The sequence below is a fragment of the Homo sapiens genome, chromosome 13, assembly GCF_000001405.40.
Source record: "Homo sapiens chromosome 13, GRCh38.p14 Primary Assembly".
Lineage (NCBI taxonomy): Eukaryota > Metazoa > Chordata > Mammalia > Primates > Hominidae > Homo > Homo sapiens.
The window spans coordinates 30,949,702-30,969,436 of NC_000013.11; the positions used below are offsets into that span (position 1 = coordinate 30,949,702).

Consider the following 19,735-nt stretch of genomic DNA (forward strand, 5'->3'; position numbering starts at 1 on the left):
TGAAGTGAAGAGTATAATAAAAAGCATAATGTTTCCTAAATATATTCTCATGTATATAGAATTCTGCTGCTTTCCTTTTGGGAATGATTAAATACCAATCACGTATAAAAACAGAAACAATTTTATTAATTTCATCAGACATCAAATCAAGTATTTACTAGTATTCAGTGAAAGAAAGTTACATATAGTGAAAATTAATATTGGTCTGGCAGGTCAGCCTATACTTTCATTTATTGTTAAATATTTTACAACATAAAATGAAAATTGGCTGCATTGGAGTAAATATTTTGTAAAATGATTGGATTCAGAATAAAATTTAAATACTTTATTGAATGATTAATACAAAATCTGAAAAAAATACAAGATTCCTATTTCTCAGTTTTATCCAGTGAATCTTTAAAAATTTGCTGTCTCGGAAAAGATTCTGGGCATGGTGGCTCATGCCTGTAATCCCAACACTTTGGGAGGCCAAGGCGGGTAGGTCACCTGAGGTCAGGAGTTCAAGACCAGCCTGACCAATATGGTGAAACCCTGTCTTTACTAAAAATACAAAAATTAGACCAGTGTGGTGGCATGTGCCTGTTGTCCCAGCTACTCGGGAGGCTGAGACAGGAGAATTGCTTGAACCCAGGAAGTGGAGGTTGCTCCACCCTGGGTGACAGAGTAAGACTCTGTCAAATAAAAAAAAAAGGCAAGATTCTGGTTATATTTAAAGTAGTCAGCATGACCAATCTGTGCTGCTTCACCACCTCAGAGCTGCTTTTCTTTCCAGCTAATGGTATGTCCCAGAGATAAGATGATAAATGCCTATCTTTAAATGTGGCAGGAAAGGAGTCACTTTAAGCATTCTACATCCTCTCTTCTCTCAGAGGCCTCTCCCTAAAAAGAGGTGAACATTTTGTAATTGTTAGGAGATAGAAAACCAGACATTACTCTCAGCCATGCTCTATGACTTAGCTAAATTCAGAGCCTCCCCACACATACCTAGTACCCTGGGTATAGCACAACCCTTCACTCTATAGAAATACACATGACATTGAGAACCACAAGCCCAGACAAGTGGTTCCAAGTGGAACTTGGATTACAAGGAGGTGTCTGTGAAATCACTCCTACCATGTTTCCCTTCACTGGGGGACCCCCTCAGGGTTGGAGGCTTATTCCTCGAGACAATGCACCATAGAAAAAGCCTGTGGTGAAATGGGGAAGGGAGAATCAGGCAAGGGGTAAAGGAAGAAAGAACCCACATACATTTGCAGGTTTGTTCTCAGGTGGATATGTTCTAGGAAAGAGTATATTGAGAAATTGAGATCTGAAAATTGATTCTTTTAAAGATTTTTGTGACTAAGTGTGGTGGTCCACGGCTGTAATCCCAGCCTGTAGCATGCGCCTGTGGTCCCAGCTACTTGGGAGTTTGAGGTAGGAGGATCGCTTGAGGCTAGAGGTTCAAGACCAGCCTGGGCAACATAGTGAGACCTCATCTCAAAAAATAAAAATAAAAAATAAATCAGCTGGGCATGGTGGTACATGCCTGTAAGTCCTAACTACTTGGGAGGCTGAGGTGGGAGGATAGATTGAGCCCAGCAATTAGAGGCTGCAGTGAGCTATGATGGTACCACTGCACTCCAGCCTAGGCAACAGAGCAAGACTCTGTCTCAAAAAAAAAAAAAAAAGCTATTTGTGCTGTGTCCCGTCCCTTTGGAAACTCTCCAGTTTATATCTGAATGGCAATAGAATGATCATCCAGATGGATGTTTTTTTCTAACTTCCTAGATATTTGCTTCTTACAGAGATAATCTGAATCTATTCAGCCCTTTTTTAAAAAAAAGTCAAAATGAAATATTTTAAACATACACAAAGGAACACACAACAAATCCCCCACTATGACCCAGCAACAGCAATCATCACTCGTTAGATACTGTTATCTGTACCCTCCACTAATCCTTCCCACTAGAGTATGTGGAAGCAAATCCCAGGCATTGTATCATTTCAATTCTAAAGATTTTGTATGTATCTCTAAAAGATAAGGATGTTTTAAAAATATGTAACAATTATATTATCTCACCTTTAAGAAAACCAATTCCTTAATATCAAATAGCCAATCAGCAATCAAATCTCTCCAATTGTCTCATAACTTTTTTTTAAAAGGCAGTGGTTTGAAATTGAATCTAAAAAAGGTCCACACATTTCATTTGGTTATTGTCTCTTACCTCATTTAATCTTTAAAAAAAAAGAGAGAAAGAGAACTTTTTTTTTTTTTCTGACAAATTCTTTGTTGAAGAAACAGAATCATTATTCTGGGATTTTTTTTTTTTTTTTTTTTTTTTTTTTTTTTTTTTTTTTTTTGGTCTCCATGATGCCATTTAAATGATTTCTCTTTTCATGTATTTCCTGTAATCCAACATTCTGAAGACTTCATCTGATTCAAGTTTTGCATTTTGGCAAAGATATTTAATAAGTGATGATGCATGTATTCACTCAGAAGTTCATAGTGTCTGGTGGTCCTCTTTTGGAGCTGTGAGTGGACATTGCTGGCCATTGCCTAGATTCATTATTTCATTATGGGCTTGAAACTAGTGATATTTCAATTCTTGTATTTCTTCCCTTTATCAAATGGGAGATTTCTATAGAGAGAAGCTTTTCTTCACCAGCTATTTGGTTACACTGAAGTGCCATTTGTATTGGAGAGTGTTCAGCTCTTTAAAAAAATTAATGAAATAAATTTCATATTGTTATGTTTTTAAATTTTATTTTAGGCATCTGTACTTTTGTTAAAAGCCATCCTAAAATACAGGGTTGTTTTCCTTCAAGGAAAACCTGAAATTAAATTATTTCTGGCACCAACTCTTATGCCAATCAATCTTTTTAAAAAATGTAATGAGTAAAATGATTTGACATGTGTACTTTTGTGAGATTTGGTATTTAACCTCTAACTCTAATTTCTGCTGGGTTTTTTTATAGCCAAAACGGTATCAGAAGATTAGGATATACATATTCACTTAGTGATCCTATTCTCAATCAGACACAATATAGTGATGAGTACACTTGGAAATCACACTCTAAAGAAGATTTGATCAAAACTGAGACTTCAAGAGGAATCAAGAGCCACAAATCTCATCTCAATGAAGTAAGATAATATCTACATATGTGTTGAATTTAATACTGTACTGTATCAACAACTCATAAGAATGAGAGTTTAAATATGTCACAAAGATCTCTCAGCTTCTACAGTCACAGGATACATGGTTCTTTTTAGACTATTTCCTGTCTACCTTCTCACATTTATTTCTAACCTCTTGTGTTCTATCCCCTGGAGTTTTTTTTAAAAAAGGACTTTTTAAAAATTGAAGTGAAATTTACGTAATATAAAATTAACCTTTTAAAGTGAACAATTCACTGGCATTTAGTACATACATGCTGTTGGACAGCCATCACCTTTATTTTTGTTCCAAACCATTTTCATCATCCTAGAAGGAGACCTCATACCCATTAAGCAATTACCCCCGACTCCACTCCCCACCGTCTGCTTTCTATGTCCGTGGATTACCTTTTGTGGATATTTTACATGTGGAATCAATAATAGGTGACCTTTTGTGTCTGGCTTCTTTTCACTTAGCATAATGTTTTCAAGGTTCATCATCTAAGAAATTATCTGACTAGAAAGAAGACAGGAAAAGCACTATTATGAAGACTACCCATGTAGCATCCGTGTAGCAAATATCAGTACTTCCAGTCTTTGTCACAGTTGAATAATATTCTCTTCCGCGGATAAACCACAGTTTGTCTGTGTGTGCATCCATTAATGCATCTTTGGATTGTTTCCACCTTTTGGCTATTGTGAATTGTGCAGCTATGAACAGCCATGTACAAGTACTTGTGCTTAGCCTTGTGTTTCATACGCTCTCAAACCTCCATTTTTTAAATCATTCTGTTGCCTCTACCTAGAATGCCCTTATCCTGTGCATGAAGGGAACTCCTATATTTCTTCAAGACTCACATTAAAGAAAGCCATCTCTAAGTTCCTTCTCCCCTGGGTGGAAATAGCTGATTCTCCGTGTGTGTTTTCTTGTCTTTCTATTCCCTTCTCCCATCACAAAAGGTAATGCTTTGTTGTAGTAAAGGGTTTCATTTGCTTGACTGCCACATGGGATGGGACAACCTGGGATGGAGCCACCTTGATGCATTCAATAGATGATAAAGTGGTAGAATGAACAGGATTTGATGACTAAAAGGATGCAAAGGATAAGGAAGAGGAAAGTATAATGTTCAACTTCTGACTTGGACAGCTGGTGTATGCAGATTCTGTTTACTCAGCTGGAACATGGTGGAGGACCAGGTTGGGTGGAGAAGGGCATTGGGGGAACATGTAGTTTCAGTTGAAGACATGTTGGTTGAAGATGTGTCCAACAGGCAGTTTAATAGACAGGTCTGGAGCTCTTGGGGGAGAGATGAGCTGGACATATGGACTTGGAAGTCATTAGAATGTATACATATAGCTGATTAAATTTGGTTCCTTGTGATATCCATTCATTGTAATGTATTCAACCCTGAAAAAAAATATATATATTTATAGACCTATACACACACACACACACACACACACACACACACACACACACACATATATGTATGTATATATCTCTTGGAGATATACACATAAAACTCCTGTCTCTAAAAATATATATATCTAAATTATATATTTAATATATAATTTATATATAATATAAAAATATGTCTCTAACATATGTATTATTATGTATAATTAGATATATTACAGACAAGATCTTGCTTTGTGGCCCAGGGTGAAGTGCAGTGGCACAATCAATCAGAGGTCACTACAGCCTCGAACTCTTGAACTCAAGTGATGCTCCCACCTCACCCTCCAGAGTAGCTTAAAGTACAGGTGCATGCCACCATGCCCAGCTAATTTTTTATTTTTTGTAGAGATAGAATCTCACTCTGTTTCCCAGGCTGGTCTCAAACTCCTGGGTTCAAGCAATCCTTTCACCCTGGCCTTCCAAAGCCCTGGGATTACAGCCGTGAGACACTATGCTTGGTCATCCTTTATATTTTAAAATTAATGTAGAAGAGTTGATTACAATATTATACTGTATGTATACAATATTATACTGTATTTATACATTCACAAACACACGACCATATAATTTTCCCTTCCTCTAAGTACTATTGAAGGCTCTCAACCAATGAGAGCTAGTGTGGCTGACTGTCCTGCGTGTTCTCAGCCAATGAGTGTTCACATGCCAGATGGCAGCTCCTATTATTCTAGGTATTGAATATCAACAACTGCTAACGTTACACAAGAAAAACAACGATGTATTATCTGCCTCCTACAGCCTTGTGAAACACCATTTATTCAGGGGTGTCTAATCTTTTGGCTTCCCTGGGCCACAGTGGAAGAAGAATTGCTTTGGGCCACACATAAAATACACTAACACTAATGATAGCTGATGAGCTTTAAAAAATGAAATCGCAAAAATATCTCATAATGTTTTAAATAAGTTTATGAATTTGTGTTGGGCCACATTCAAAGCCATCCTGGGTGGGGCCACAGGTTGGACAAGCTTGACTTCTAGTTTAGTGAATTTGAGTCTCTGGATACACCTGCCAATTTGCAGGAAATACAGGGGACAGAGGAACTTGTTAAACAACAAATGCATACGCAATCAACAAAATCCAGACTTTGGGACCTCTGCACAGCAAATGGCTTCTTCAATAGATAAATCATAATTTTATGTATTGGTTTTTCCAGTTGATAGATTGTGAGGGAAAGAAGGGAATCAAGAGAGAACTTGAAAATTAAAAGAGGTTTAAAAGGCAAGTTTGGGACAGCGAGTATACCTAACTATTTTGAAGAATTTTGGTGCAAAGGGAAACTGAGGAATAGCTTAGTAACTAGAAGGGGAAGTACAGTGAAGAGAGTGCTTTCTTTTTAAGATAGGAGAAATAAACGCATTCTTTGATACAGATGGCAATGATCCAGCAGAGAGGAAGAGATTCAAGTTGCAAGAGAGAAGTAAGGACTGTTGGAGCGATTTGCTGGAGTAGACTCAGTAGAGAGGGATCTAGTGCTGCAGGCGGGGCTGGGCCTTGCTGAGGGCACCTGCGCGGCTCCCCTCCCGTCACAGCATGTGTGAGTGCAGGTGCGGTGGCTGGGACACGGTTGGTGGGCTGTGGAGGTTATTTTCTGGTGGCTTCAATTTTCTCAGGGAAATAGGAAGCAAGATCATGGGAAAGAGGGACGATGGCAAGAGGGGGTGAAGATTTCAAGTTTTATCATCCTAAAATCTCTCTTTTTTAATTTTATTATTATTATACTTTAAGTTTTAGGGTACATGTGCACAACGTGCAAGTTTGTTACATATGTATACATGTGCCATGTTGGTGTGCTGCACCCATTAACTAGTCATTTAGCATTAGGTATATATCCTAATGCTATCCCTCCCCCCTCCCCCCACCCCACAACAGGCCCCGGTGTGTGATGTTCCCCTTCCTGTGTCCATGTGTTCTCATTGTTCAATTCCCACCTATGAGTGAGAACATGCGGTGTTTGGTTTTTTGTCCTTGCAATAGTTTGCTGAGAATGATGGTTTCCAGCTTCATCCATGTCCCTACAAAGGACATGAACTCATCATTTTTTATGGCTGCATAGTATTCCATGGTGTATATGTGCCACATTTTCTTAATCCAGTCTATCATTGTTGGACATTTGGAGGTGACAAGAGAGTGCTGGCCATTCCTGTCCTTCAGCAAGTTGCTGAGGCCTCTGCATGTAAGGCAGAGTTTTCCTCAGGGGCTCCCAAGGGGAAAGCAGCTACTGCCTGTGCTCCTTGGGAATGGCCAGAACTAGAATTAACATGGGTTATTTCTTCCCTTAGTCTTATCTGTAGGAGACTTCTGGTTGGAAGCACAACTCTTTGAAGTTTTCAATCTCATTTTCTCATTTTCAATGTGAAAAGTCAAAGAAATGTACAGAGCCCGCGTTTCGACTGGGTCAACCAATGTCTCCTGTTGACGGGCTCCCAGCATCCATGCACCTGCAGTGGCAGCTGGTTGTAAAGGATTCTGAAGAATATGTGCACACAGACACTCAGATTATTGATCCTATTGGGTGAACCCATATGGATTTTCTTGAAAATTATGTTTGCTTTGATAGGACATTTTCCTGTGGACACTACCTCACTGTCAACAAACGGGGACACTAAAGAACTGCCTCCCTTGGAAAATCCCGGCTTCAATGAAAGAAGTTAACAAGGCACTATCAAATCAGTTTATTTCCCTTACTAAGAGAGACTTTGTGGACAGATCAAAAGGTAAACACTTTTGTTTTTCTTTTTTTCCTGGGTCATGTGGTAGGCCCTGGAGTTGCAGTGGTCGGCAGCATGCGTGTGTTCTTCTCCTTCAAGGAACTTGAAGTCTAGGCATGGAGACAGGCGACTTTGCAAATAAAAACCATCAAGTATAAAAAGGTGCACCTTGTGGGAAATGCAGGTTGCTGTGGGCATACAGGAAGACATCCAGCTTAGTGTGGGATAGGGGGTCAGGAAAGGCTTCCCTGCCTGGCCCAAAGGATGAAGAGGAATTAGCCAGGCAAAGAGGTAGGGGAGAGTGTTGTTACAGGATTGAAGACCTGCAGGAACATTTCAGGAACTAAAAGAACTTCAGCAAGAGTAGAGCATCAAGGGCAAAGGGAGGGTTGAGGGAGGAGATCAACGTGGGCAGAGAACACCCAGTCTGGAAGGGCATTACAGGGCATACTAAAGAGTTTGGAGTTCATCCCAGAAGCAATTAAGAGGTTTTTATTAAGGTAGTGACACAATTCAGATGTCGACTTTTAGAAGCCTCACACTGGCTGCAGAGTGAAGAATGGAGATGGCCCTTCAGGAAGAAGGTGGACAGGAGGAGGCTGTTAGGGGAGCGCAGAGAGGAGTGAGGTGGCTTGACACAGGGCTGTGGCAGTGCGGATGGAGGCAGGATCTGCAAGGTGGTGGCATGGGCACTTCAGTCAGCAATAAGCCCCTTCCAGGGTAGGGGCTGTGGCTTTTGGCTCACATTGTCTCACCAGCACCCACCCCAGTGCCTGGCTTATCACAGGTGATGAAAATAAATATTGGTTGAACAAATAAATGAATGATAGGGATGAGTGACTGACAGATGTCAGAGATACGGGAGTAATAGGAGTCTGCCTTGGAGTTCCTTGTGGATGGGATGCTGGTGTCTTCTGTAGGTAAGTAGGAAACCATGAGAGGATGAAGTGAGGGCCATTTTATTCTCTCCTTTGTTAGAGATGAAAAGTCCAGCACACTATTCATCCTGCTTCCTGGAAGAGCACATGTGTCCTGGGATGGGAACTCTGCTATGCAGATTCCCCTGTGAGAATCTAGATTCTCTCATGCTTCACCTGGCTCTGCCCTTAGGGCTCTGTGGCTGGGAACACCTTTGACTGTTTTTTTGTAGGGTAAGTAGAGATGACATCATAGCTTCCATGTCTCAGGGGGTCAAAAATGAGTTCCATCTATACCAACACATTTTCCAGAAATGACATATTTGGTGATTCAATGCAATTTTGGTCTTGCTTATCAGCAGGAAATTTACTTTATTGAGAATTCATGAAAATTGATTATATTTTTAGACGCACAGACGGAAATCTTTTCCTAAGTTACTGAGAAAGCCACACACGCTGGTGCATGGCTCTAAGCCCTGTGACACAATGGCAGTTGGAGTATTGGTGTTCTCCTGCTTTTTGGTGACAAAATAATGACACCCAGTGACTGCTGAGGAAGGCTGGCTGCCCTGTGGGCTCTGAACACAAGCCAGGGAGTGCTGAGGGCCCCTGTTCACCCGAGGACAGGAGAATGACACATCTCTCAAGGTCTGGGTGTCTCCATCTTCATCCTACATCCCTTTTCCTGCCCCAACAGAACCATCAATCCCTGTGAGCTGTGGATCTGTCTCCCTGTCCCCTGAACAAGAACTTTATCTTTCCAGTTCTCTGGCCTTTTCTCCAACATCATCCCTCCATCTCTAAAGTATTAATCCCACCCCACCGGCATGCACATTGACTGTAGTATATCCCGTCTAGCATGTTCCAGATGAAAACAAAAACAGAGCTTTCCCTCAACCCCATCTCTTCTTTTAGCTACTGTTCATTTCTCTGCTTCCCTTCATAAACAGCCAATGTTTACTAAGCCCTTAGCTTTTCATAAATTAACACAGTTAATTTTCACAACCTGTGAAGTTATTACCGCCAATCAAAGAGGGGGATCTAAAACTCAGTGTGGTTAAGCAACATGCCCAGGGTTGCCCAGCTCAGGACTGGTGGTGTCTAGGATTTGAACCCAGGCAGTCTGGCTTCTCTTATTAGAACTACCTCCTTCCCAGCTAAAATTCCTTCAAGAGTCAGTTTATACATGGTATTCTGAATTCCTAACTTCTTGTTTACAGTTTTTAAACATTAAAATTTACTTTTATTAAACAAATGTATGCATATACTTAAATGATTACTTACAGGCATATAAAGAAACAACAGTAGTTCCTTGACCTACCCCGCCCCATCCCTACTCTTATTCCTCATTGGCAGTCAATTTCAATCTGGTTAACTATTTCTTCTTATGTGATTTTTAAATAATTTGCTTCTACTGCTCCTCTTCATTCATGAATTTTAGACGTTATTGACTTCTGTTTTGGAAGCTGAGGATTTGGCTATCCTATAACTCTGTCTCACTGGCCCTCCATCCATCATGTCAATATAATTATATTACAGATTTCTTGTTAAATTCAATTGCTAGTGTATATATTATGATATGACATACTGTGATTACATGAGTACGTAAATGTTTGCTGCTGAGCCAAGTTGTATTTCATTATTTCCTTTGCTTGTTGTTTTCTCTTATTTTTACCAGAATTAATTGTTTTTCTCTACGTGTTTACTTTTCTACATGCCTGTCACTATTTTTTTCCATACTTTGTTGTACACTTACCAAAATTTTTTCCAAACACAATGACAGAATAGAACAGAGAAAAGAGAGGAGAGAAAAATATTAAAGGAGTAATGCAGGAAAAAATTCTCAGAGTTTCTAGATTGAAAGGGCCCCTGAATGCCTGACATAACGAATGACAAAAGACTGTCACTAATGCATGTAAGTGTGGAATTTCAGAATGTCAGGAATAAAGAGATCTTAAGTGTTTCCAGGGGGTTGACATAAAAAAGATCAGAAATTAAAATGTCATCTGTCTTCTACATAGAAATCCTGGATGCTAGAAGACATTTGGAAAAATGTGTTGAAGGGAAGTGATTTCCAACCTAAAATTCTATATCCAGCCAAACTATCAAGCAAGTCTAATGAAGAAAAAAAGACATTTCCAGATTGACAAGAATATACTTTCAAAAGTTCCTCCAACACACCCTTTCTTAGGAAGCTACTGGATAGTTGGATCGAGCCTTAAATTATCTTACCTTTTCTCTCCTAGCTTCTTTCTCTTTGTATTTTTGTTCTGTTTATTTGAAAACTTCTATACCTTTTTTGTTTTGTCTGTTTGTTTGTTTTTCATGGAGACAGAATCTCCACCAGGCTGGAGTGCAGTTGTGTGATCTTGGCTCACTGCAGCCTCTGCCTCCCAGATTCAAGCAATTCTCATGCCTTAGCCTCCTGAGTAGCTGAGACTGCAGGCATGCACCACCACGTCCGGCTAATTTGTTTGTATTTTTAGTAGAGTCAGGATTTCACCATGTTGCCCAGGCTGGTCTTGAACTCCTGAGGTCAGGCAATCCACCCACCTCAGCCTCCCAAAGTGCTAGGATTACAGATATGAGCCACCATGCCTGGCTGAAAACTTCTTTACTTTTTAATCTAGCTCTTCATTAAATTTTATTACAGGTCTCATATTTTTAATTTCTAAGCTCTCTTTCTTCCTCCCTCCAATTATTTTTTAAAAACAGCATTCTGCTCTTATTTTATAATGCAGTAATTCTCATGAATTTTAAGATATTTATGATATAATTAACTTTCAGCATTTTCATCTGTTTCTTGCATTGTTTCCATTTTTCTCTGAGTGTCTTAATGGTCTAATGAAAATTTGATTGTCCATATTTGCAAGGGAGCAGAGGCCGATTCATTATAAAGCTAATAAAACTCAAGTTTCACTTTTGTGGACTCTTCTTTTTCTTAAAGTGGGTGCACACAAAATATTAAACTCCAAGGCTCAAAAACCTACAAAGGAGGTATCAAATATAATTAAAAACTGTGTACAAAGAAGGGACTTGTTAGCTGGTACTTGACTTAGGTGATTAGAGGATGAGCTATCTTTCTTGGGGGAAATCCCTAAATGCCATTATTTGTGGATCAGTCTCTCCAGAGAGGTAATTCTGACTGCTGGCATTCTGAGAGCAGGAGTGGAGAAGCAAGGGGTTGGGATCTTCCTGGCTGGTGTGCAGACTTTCACTGACCCCTCTTTTTTTCAATCAAGCATCTCACTCCACTCACCTTTTACCATGCCTGGTGTCCCTCAGTCCAGAGCTTCTTTGGTTCAGTTTTGCAGAGAATAAACTTCTAGTTAGGAAGGAATAGTCATATGACTATGCAGGGTTATGAAGGTGATCCGGGAAGCCACTTGGTATTCAAGCTTTCAGCCAAGCCTCTGTGTTCAGCCCTGAGCCTTGCTCCCTGCCTTCCACTGTACCTGTTACCTTTGAGCCTGCAAGTGTTCTGTAGTGTGGGTTACCTAGTTCACTTCTTTGCTATTATTCCCTGCTGCAGTCATCTAGGCTTCAGCTTCCTCTACTTTGCTCAATCAGTTGCTACATCTACATTTGCTTTCCATTTTCTAAAAAAATGTGTTAACATTTCTAATCTACGATCATTTTGCTGGAGTTTGGGGACAGAGGAGTCCTAACTGCAGGGATACAATCCATTGAGTTTAATGGGAAGCTTGCCCTTTGACTTTTCAACCCCTTCCAACCTGGTGTCTGCCCCCACCATTCACTGAACTGCTCCTTTCAAGGTCTGCAATGACCTTCAATGGAGATTTTTCCATTTGTGTCTTACCCAACTTTTGAGCATCATTTAACTGTGGATTCTGCTCTCTCTCTCAGACCACTGTTCTTGCATTTCTGTGTTGCCACACATTCCTAGTTTCCTCCTACTTTTTTGACTCCTTCTCTCTGGTGATTTTTCTGTTTGGCCTCTAACTGTTAGAGTTTCTGATTCCTTTAAAGAACAACTATCCTGAGAACCTCCACATTTGTATCTCTTCCCAAACCTCTCCTTAGACCCTCAGTTTCCTATATTGGGTGCTGAGTGAAAGCCTCATGAGCATTCCAACTCATCTCCTTCCCCCGGCAGCCGATCTTCCTGCATTATCCATAGGTTCCCTCCAATTGTTTCACCACCTGGCAGCTAGAGGAGCTTTCCCAGTGAGCTTTTCCAGTTTTGTGTCCTCTAACCCACTGTCCATAAGACAGCCATCATGAGTCTCCAGATGTGCAAACTGATGTCACTTTATGGATTAAAACCCTTCAGTGAATTTTCATTGTCCTCAGGATAAAAGCTAAATGCCTTACATGAGTCCTGTACAATCTGGTCCTGGCCGCCATGCTGCCTCCTCTCTTGTCAGCCCCCACCCTCATGACCTTGCCAGCCGTCCCGACTAACAGCCTCCGCATACCTCCATGCCTCGTGGCCTTGTGCTGGTGGCACACATTGCTTCCTCCCTGTGGAGCAGGTCTCCCTTCCTTCTCAGCCTCTGTCTACCCATAATTTAAGTCTGGTTGTACGCCTCGCCTCTCTTCTGGAAGCCTTCTTTGATCCTCCACCTTTGGGTTATTGGCCTTCCCATGTGTTTTAACAGCCCTGGTTCTTACTTCTTTTGTAGGACTTATGATATTGTAATAATCTAAGCTTCTGAAGAACAAGGGCCATGTCTTAGCTTTTTATCCTCATTATGGAATTAAGGTAAACGACTGAGGAGCACTGAAATGTGCTGCTTTTCACAGTCAGGCTTAGAGAACGTGGCTTTGATGAATCAGAGCAGCTGATAGACAGCGGAGCTAGTTCCCACTTGACTATAGGTTATGTGTCAATGGTCCTAATGGGTTGTTTTTTGTTTTTGTTTTTGTTTTTTTTTTTGAGACGGAGTCTCACTCTGTCACCCAGGCTGGAGTGCAGTGGCCTGATCTTGGCTCACTGCAAGCTCTGCCTCCCGGGTTCATGCCATTCTCCTGCCTGAGCCTCCCGAGTAGCTGGGACTACAGGCACCTGCCACCATGCCCAGCTAATTTTTTTTTTTTGTATTTTTAGTAGGGACGGGGTTTCTCAGTGTTAGCCAGGATGGTCTCAATCTCCCGACCTCGTGATCCACCCGCCTCGGCCTCTCAAAGTGCTGGCATTGCAGGCATGAGCCACCGTGCTCAGCTGGTCCTAATAGTTTTGAATGGTCCTTGCTGAAGACTTACTTTTGGTTTGGGCCTTTCTGCAGATGCCATACCTAATCTTAAATGGGCCAGTTTCTTTCTTTGGGCTAAACCATTCCAGTTTTACTCCAGTGGAAAAGAAACCCAGGGAGCTGAGCTCCTGAGGAACAGGAACCCTGGGGGGAGGCGTCATTGGGTCAGGTTAGCTCTAACTCATGGTTATTATTTTTGTCCATACTTTAGCACAAATACGGGGGTTTTAGGTGTCGCTTAGGTCCCTTTTTATCAGGAACCTGTCTTCCAAATAACGCATGAAGCTCATTAACACAACATTTTATAAAGACAACAAAAGCCTCAATTTTAAAGAACTAAGCCCATGCTATGGAATGAACAATATATAGTTTACTAGGAGTTACCTTAAGCATAGCTTGATCACATAGGCAGTCACTAGAGTGTACTTCAGATATTAATTGCTAATCCATAGCAGTTATGTTTCCAGGTTTTTTGGTGTGTGCGTTCACTCATTAACTTAGTAAATACTTAATGAGTTCTATCACTGTGATAAGTACTGAGGATCAATGAAGAGTGAGACTCTTTGTAGTCTGCAAAACTTTTCCCAGGTGATTCTGATGTCTTATTTCCATGTGAGATCTACAGTCCCAAGTGTTATGGTTGTAAGGCTCACCACATTCCCTGTTCATTCTATAGATATTTAAGTCTAGGTCCTGGCTTTTGCCTTTTCTGGGTCTTCATCTCCAATGATTCCACCTCTATGCCGGTCCATCATTGTTCATGTGGAACGGACGTTCCAGACTCTTCACAGCCTGGCCCCAGCTTGCCTCTCCTATTTCACCCTCAGCTCCTCCTCCCTGCCCTGCATGCCCCACCCTTCTGTGAGCCAGGCCAAGTTTCACAAACACACTATGCAGTTTTTGCTTCTGTACTGACCCGTTGTCAAAGCTCCTTACTGTGACTGCCTTTTCGTCCTTGTCATCCTCCTCTTCCTCCAACACAGCCCCTCATACTCTCTCTGGGCTCCTGTAGCACCCTATTCAAAGCTCTGAGTCGTATTTCTTAAGCACATGGGCGGTTTGTTTTCACAATCTAAGTGCCTGGGGCTCACTTCTGGAGGTTCTCAATGTCTGGAATGAGGGTCAGCAGATGTATTCTGAGAGACCCTTCCCAGGTGATTCTGATGTCATATTTCCACGTGAGATCCACAGTTCCAAATGTTATGGTTGCAAGACTTACCACATTCCCTACCTGTTTGTTCTGTAGATATCTTTGTATTCACGCTAATTGTCTTAAGGTAGAACAATGACTTAATTATGTATAACCTTGGCAAATAGCACAGAACTGATATAGGAACTGAAAACATTTACTATTGAATGGTAGCTCTAGGGAAGAGATATAGATAAAAGCATCAAGTATTTCAGTGGAAATTTGTTTTTGCTTATAAAGCTCCTAGTGAAAAAGTCAAGTGTCTTAGTCTGTTTTGTACAGCTTTGACAAAATATGTGAGACTGGGTAATCTATGATGAAATAAATTTATTTGTTTCATGATTCTGGAGGCTGGGAAGCCAAGAGCATAGTACTGGCACCTTGCAAGAGCCTTCTTGCAGCATCATCCCCTGATGGAAAATGGAAGGACAAGAGCGTGAAAGTGAGAGAGAGAAAGGAAGCCAAACTCACCTTTTTGTCAGGAACCCACTCTTGCAATAATTAGCCCACTCCCACAATAACAGCATTAATCCACTCATGAGGGCAGAGTGCCCATGACCCAAACACCTCCCATTAGGCCCCACCTCCCAACACTGTTGCATTAGGGATTAAGTTTGCTTTTGCGGGGACACATTCAAATCATAGCACTAAGTTATAGATGGAAGTTACAGGAACAGTACCAGATGGTTTTCCAAAATATCTTAAGGGGTGCCCTGATTTTGAGCCCCACAAGTTCCTCCCCTCTATAACCTGTCTTCTGTATGGGCAGTTTATGAGGTCATTATGAGGGCTATTGAATACCCATGCCCTCTCCTCCTGAGTTATCTAAAGTAAGAGGCAACATGTACTGGAATCCTCTCCTCCTCTGCTGGTCTAGACAGAAATCATTTTTAAAAAATCAATATAAAAATGCTCTCAGGTGCCAGTAGATGCAATTATGTATCCTTTGATATAAAACGTATACCAGTAGGTACCATTATAAATCGTTTGATACATAATATATATTAGGATTTATTTTGAAAAGATCTATTGGAAAACTAATTTGGAAGAGAGTTGAGTTCAGTGTCAATAGTAATTTGCACTGTTTGGACATTGCTCATGAAACTCATATTTTTGACATCTTTGTCTTTCTGAATAAAGATGGTGTTACATGATATGCCTCTGAACTAAGGCTTTGTAGCAAGAATCAGGAATGAACTCATTCTAAGTGAGATGGATTGTGACTCTTGCCTCTGTAATCTGATAATGTTTGTAACACTGGCTTCAGTGCTTCATAGATATTGAATGAATATGTTTTAGCAGAGATATTTCAAAGAAATAACAGTGGTGCTATCCACTAATGCAGTGATGCCTAACCCTCCATCAGTAAGGGATAAGCTTCGAGTGTTTTTTTTTTCCAGGTAATAGGGATGATATACAGCACCCCATCTAAGCCTGCCAGATTAAGCAAATAAAACTATGGGATGCCCAGTTAAATTTGAATAATGATATGCAGTAGATAGCAAGTATTTACACTAAAAAAGTCATTATCTGAAATTCAAATTTAACTGGGCATCCCATGTTTTATATGGCGACCCTGGCCCTATCCAAAATCTCTCTGACACCCACCTCTGCCCCAGGGACCAGACAGACCCAGTGGAGTGATCAGTGTCTTCTGTGCCCACTGAGCAGACTCATGACATAAAAATATATTCACTAGAGACCACTTCTGATCATTTGAGTATATACTTCCTGTGACTGACAAAGCAGAAAATTATTTCTCCATTGAAGTGTTCATACAGGGCACATTGACCATACCTCTAAACACAGCAAGAGTGGGTTTAGCTACTTTGTTCACAAGGAGTAAGTATTGCCTTCCATTTCCATTCCACCCCAGCTCAGAAGATTAAGAAAAGTTCTCACTTGTCTCTGGAATGGAAAAAGTTACTTCCCCAACCTCCAGACACTGAATTCCGAAGGAATTACCAAATTCCAGCTAAAATTCCTGAGCTTCAAGATTTCAGTTTCAAATATGGATGCTACTCAAGCTTGCCTGTTGCTTCTCAGGGTCTAGGTGAGTACAGCTGCAGTTTCTTTTTCTTTTTCTCTTTTTTTTTTTTTTTTTTTTTTGAGACGGAGTTTCCCTCTTGTCGCCCAGGCTGGAGTGCAGTGGCACAATCTTGGCTCACTGAGATCTCCGCCTCCTGGGTTCAAGCGATTCTCCTGCCTCAGCCTCCCGAGTAGCTAGGATTACAGGTGCGCACCACCATGCCCAGCTAATTCTTTGTATTTTTAGTAGAGATGGGATTTTGCCATGTTGGCCAGGCTGGTCTCAAACTCCTGGTGTCAGGTGATCCACCTGCCTCGGCCTCCCAAAGTGCTAGGGTTACAGGCTGGAGTTACAGGCATGAGCCCAGCCCAGCTGCAGTTTCTAAAACAACCTCATAGATCTTAACCCCTGGCTCCAAAACTTCTCAACACAGAGGGCGCTGGCAGCCCGTTTTGGTAATAGTCATGGAGAAAGCCAGAGATCCTGGCATGAAATCAGAACCTTGTCGCTGCAGCTCCCAACCTGTAACCCAGGGAGCCAGTACATTGCAGAAGATGACTGACTGCTTAGGCCAAGAAATGAGTATCATCCCTGCTGGGGAGGGGCAGTGGTTGGGATTAGGGGATGCTTCCTTCTCCTAAAAAATGAGAGGGAAGGATGCAGTTGCTGTCAAGTGACAGAAAGCAATGGGGTGGGAATCCAGTTTAGTCTCAATTTTCTATTGGAAGTGTATCCACATGTGCATCCCCTGAAAGTTTTTAAAAATTCCGTGACCAAGCCACCTCCAAGCTACTAGTTAAACAGAAAACTTGGTGTCAGTCTGAGACATGGTTCATTCCTGGCATGGGGTTGGGATCAAGTAGCACTTGAGACAATAATCACAGAATTGATGCTTAGCACCTTGGGGTTAGAAGGTGGCCTAGAAATTACCTCATCCAGAGCCTCATATGTGTGACTCTTCCTGACTCCATCCTTGCCAAGGGGTGACAGTGCCCCTGTGTATCCACTTCAGGGTAGCCCCATCCCCCTTCGTTGTCTGATGCTCCAACTGTGTAGAAGTTGTAGCAGCTGTAATATTCCTTGCTAAACTTCTAGCCACTGGTTCCACTTCTTCCCATGGATGTTAGTTAGTATAAATCTATGACCCTACAAAAACCTTGTCATATGCCTTCTAAGTCTTCTCTTTTCCAGTTAAAGCATTTCCAGGCCCTACAAACACTCTTCTCAGGGTGCAGTGTCAAATCCTCTCACCAGTTTGGTTCCTCCATTTGGCCAATGACCCCTTAAAGGGGATCCCTGGAGCTGGAAGGTGTTCTTAAGGTTTAAAAGGATTGGGTAGGTTGTGAAAATTTGGTTTTTACATCGTGATTCTATTATTTTTTTCATGATAGTTTCTGGAATATTAGAACTCACATTAAATGAGCAATATTCATAATCAAATATAAGTGATTTGGGTGTTGCCTGCACCTCAGACCCCCATTAGTCCAAATGGACAATGAGCGATGACTGTAAACACCATCGTTCTTCTAAAATCCTCATCCGAAGATGCCTAGGTCCCTGGAAGGAAGTCCCTTACTGTGCCATCCCAAATGTGCACAGGAGATGTCCTGAAAGAAGAAGCTTCTATGAGGACCTTTGTTTATTAAGTAGGCAGTGAATATCACCATCATAGTGGCCAAGGGCAAACTTCCTCTTTACCCTCTGAAGGTTTGCTGAAAAATTGACTGACAAAAAGCAGATTAAAAGGAGAAAAGGCATATAAATTTATTAACATGCATGGGAGTCAAGCAAAATATAAGAACTCAAAGAAATTATGGGAGGGTTGATGCTTTTATATCATCTTGAGGTTATAGAAAGAGCTGGCTAAACAGGTTATGGGAGGGGGAGAAGAGGAGACCTGGCTAGCAAAGTTGGTCTTGTTCAGTGGTAGCAGCCCCCAGAGAGAATGATGGTAAAGGTTTCTTTTAGACCTATGAAGTCCGATCGTAGTTAATCTTTCTTAGATCCAGACAAGGGAAGGCCTTGGAAAGCCAGGCTTCATCAGTGCAGATTCCCTGTGGATGCGGGTCACCCCACTCTCAAAGACAACTTTGCAGGACTACTTCTGTCTGCAGGCCTTCTCAACAGCCATCTCAACGTATATCAAAGACGTGTAATTTGGGGTGAAATATTTCAGTTTCCTTCACTATCATAACACACTGACCTGCATAAGAGTCAAGTTCAGGGAAAACTTCTCTTCTGAAAGTGATGGTCAAACTCACCCTTCTGGTCATTCTCCGATCACTGCCACTTCCAGCAGCAACAGGCTGGAAGTCCCTGCAGCTCTGCTCAGCCCTGGTCATTGGAAGAATTTGTTTAATACAGAGCCTTAATGTCCAGCATCATGAAGGATGCTGCCTAAGCTCAAAGCTGGGCTGGGGGCTGTCAGGGTCATTTTCAAACAATAAGGGCAAGACTGGTGTGCTTGGGTGCCAGCCTTCCGACCTCTCCTCCCCTGTGTATTTCTATAGTGCCTTCTGTGCTGCACAGCTACCTGAGGAACCAAGAGCACACAAAGAAACAGACCACATACCAAAGTGACTACGACAAAACCTACCCAGATTTCTTAATGCTTTTAAACTCATTTACTTCCTCTCAAGTCAAAGAGTACCTTCAGAGTCTTTCCTACAAAGGTAAGATGAGGTCTTATTTCACACACTTACAGATCACAATACATTGCTTTTGCCAAATAGAAACTGTTCCAAGTTCTAGCCACTGGAGTTGAATGCCCACAAAAATGAAAACATTGCCTCAAAAAAAAAAAAAACTCATAGTGTTGTGCAAACCTCAATCCACTGAAAAGACATTTTCCTTTAAGGAGGCCCAGTGACTATATCCCCACTTATTAAAAAAGAGACATACAGCTTTTCACTCATTTCTGTTCTCATTTTGCCTGTGGCTGAATTGCTCCAGGATGATTCCTCTTTTTCTTAGAGCTAATTGATTTCTCCTTTGGGTGTTTGTACAGTCACGTTGTTTTGCTGTATTTTGTCTAATCTTTATTTTCTGTTTGCTGGTACATT

The 19,735-nt window shown here is 41.3% G+C and overlaps 1 protein-coding gene across 15 annotated transcripts in view; it reads left to right on the plus strand.

Annotated features, from left to right (window-relative positions):
- The window catches only part of TEX26 (testis expressed 26), a 42,845-nt gene that overhangs the window by 17,046 nt on the left and 6,064 nt on the right, over nt 1-19,735 (plus strand). For 5 of the 15 annotated variants that reach the window (XR_001749479.3, XM_047430094.1, NM_152325.3 and 2 more), the window contains 4 exons: nt 2,959-3,124; nt 7,172-7,328; nt 16,521-16,697; nt 19,184-19,345. Coding sequence is in view for 12 of the 15 variants with exons in the window: in XM_047430094.1 (XP_047286050.1) it covers nt 2,959-3,124; nt 7,172-7,328; nt 16,521-16,697; nt 19,184-19,345 (662 nt within the window). In the remaining 3 variants the exon portion in view is untranslated. Of the gene's footprint in view, nt 1-2,958; nt 3,125-6,893; nt 7,329-10,260; nt 10,513-16,520; nt 16,698-17,864; nt 18,009-18,676; nt 18,826-19,183; nt 19,346-19,735 lie in introns of those variants that run through there. The other 10 variants (NM_001353391.2, NM_001353390.2, NR_148425.2 and 7 more) reach the window with 8 other exon arrangements.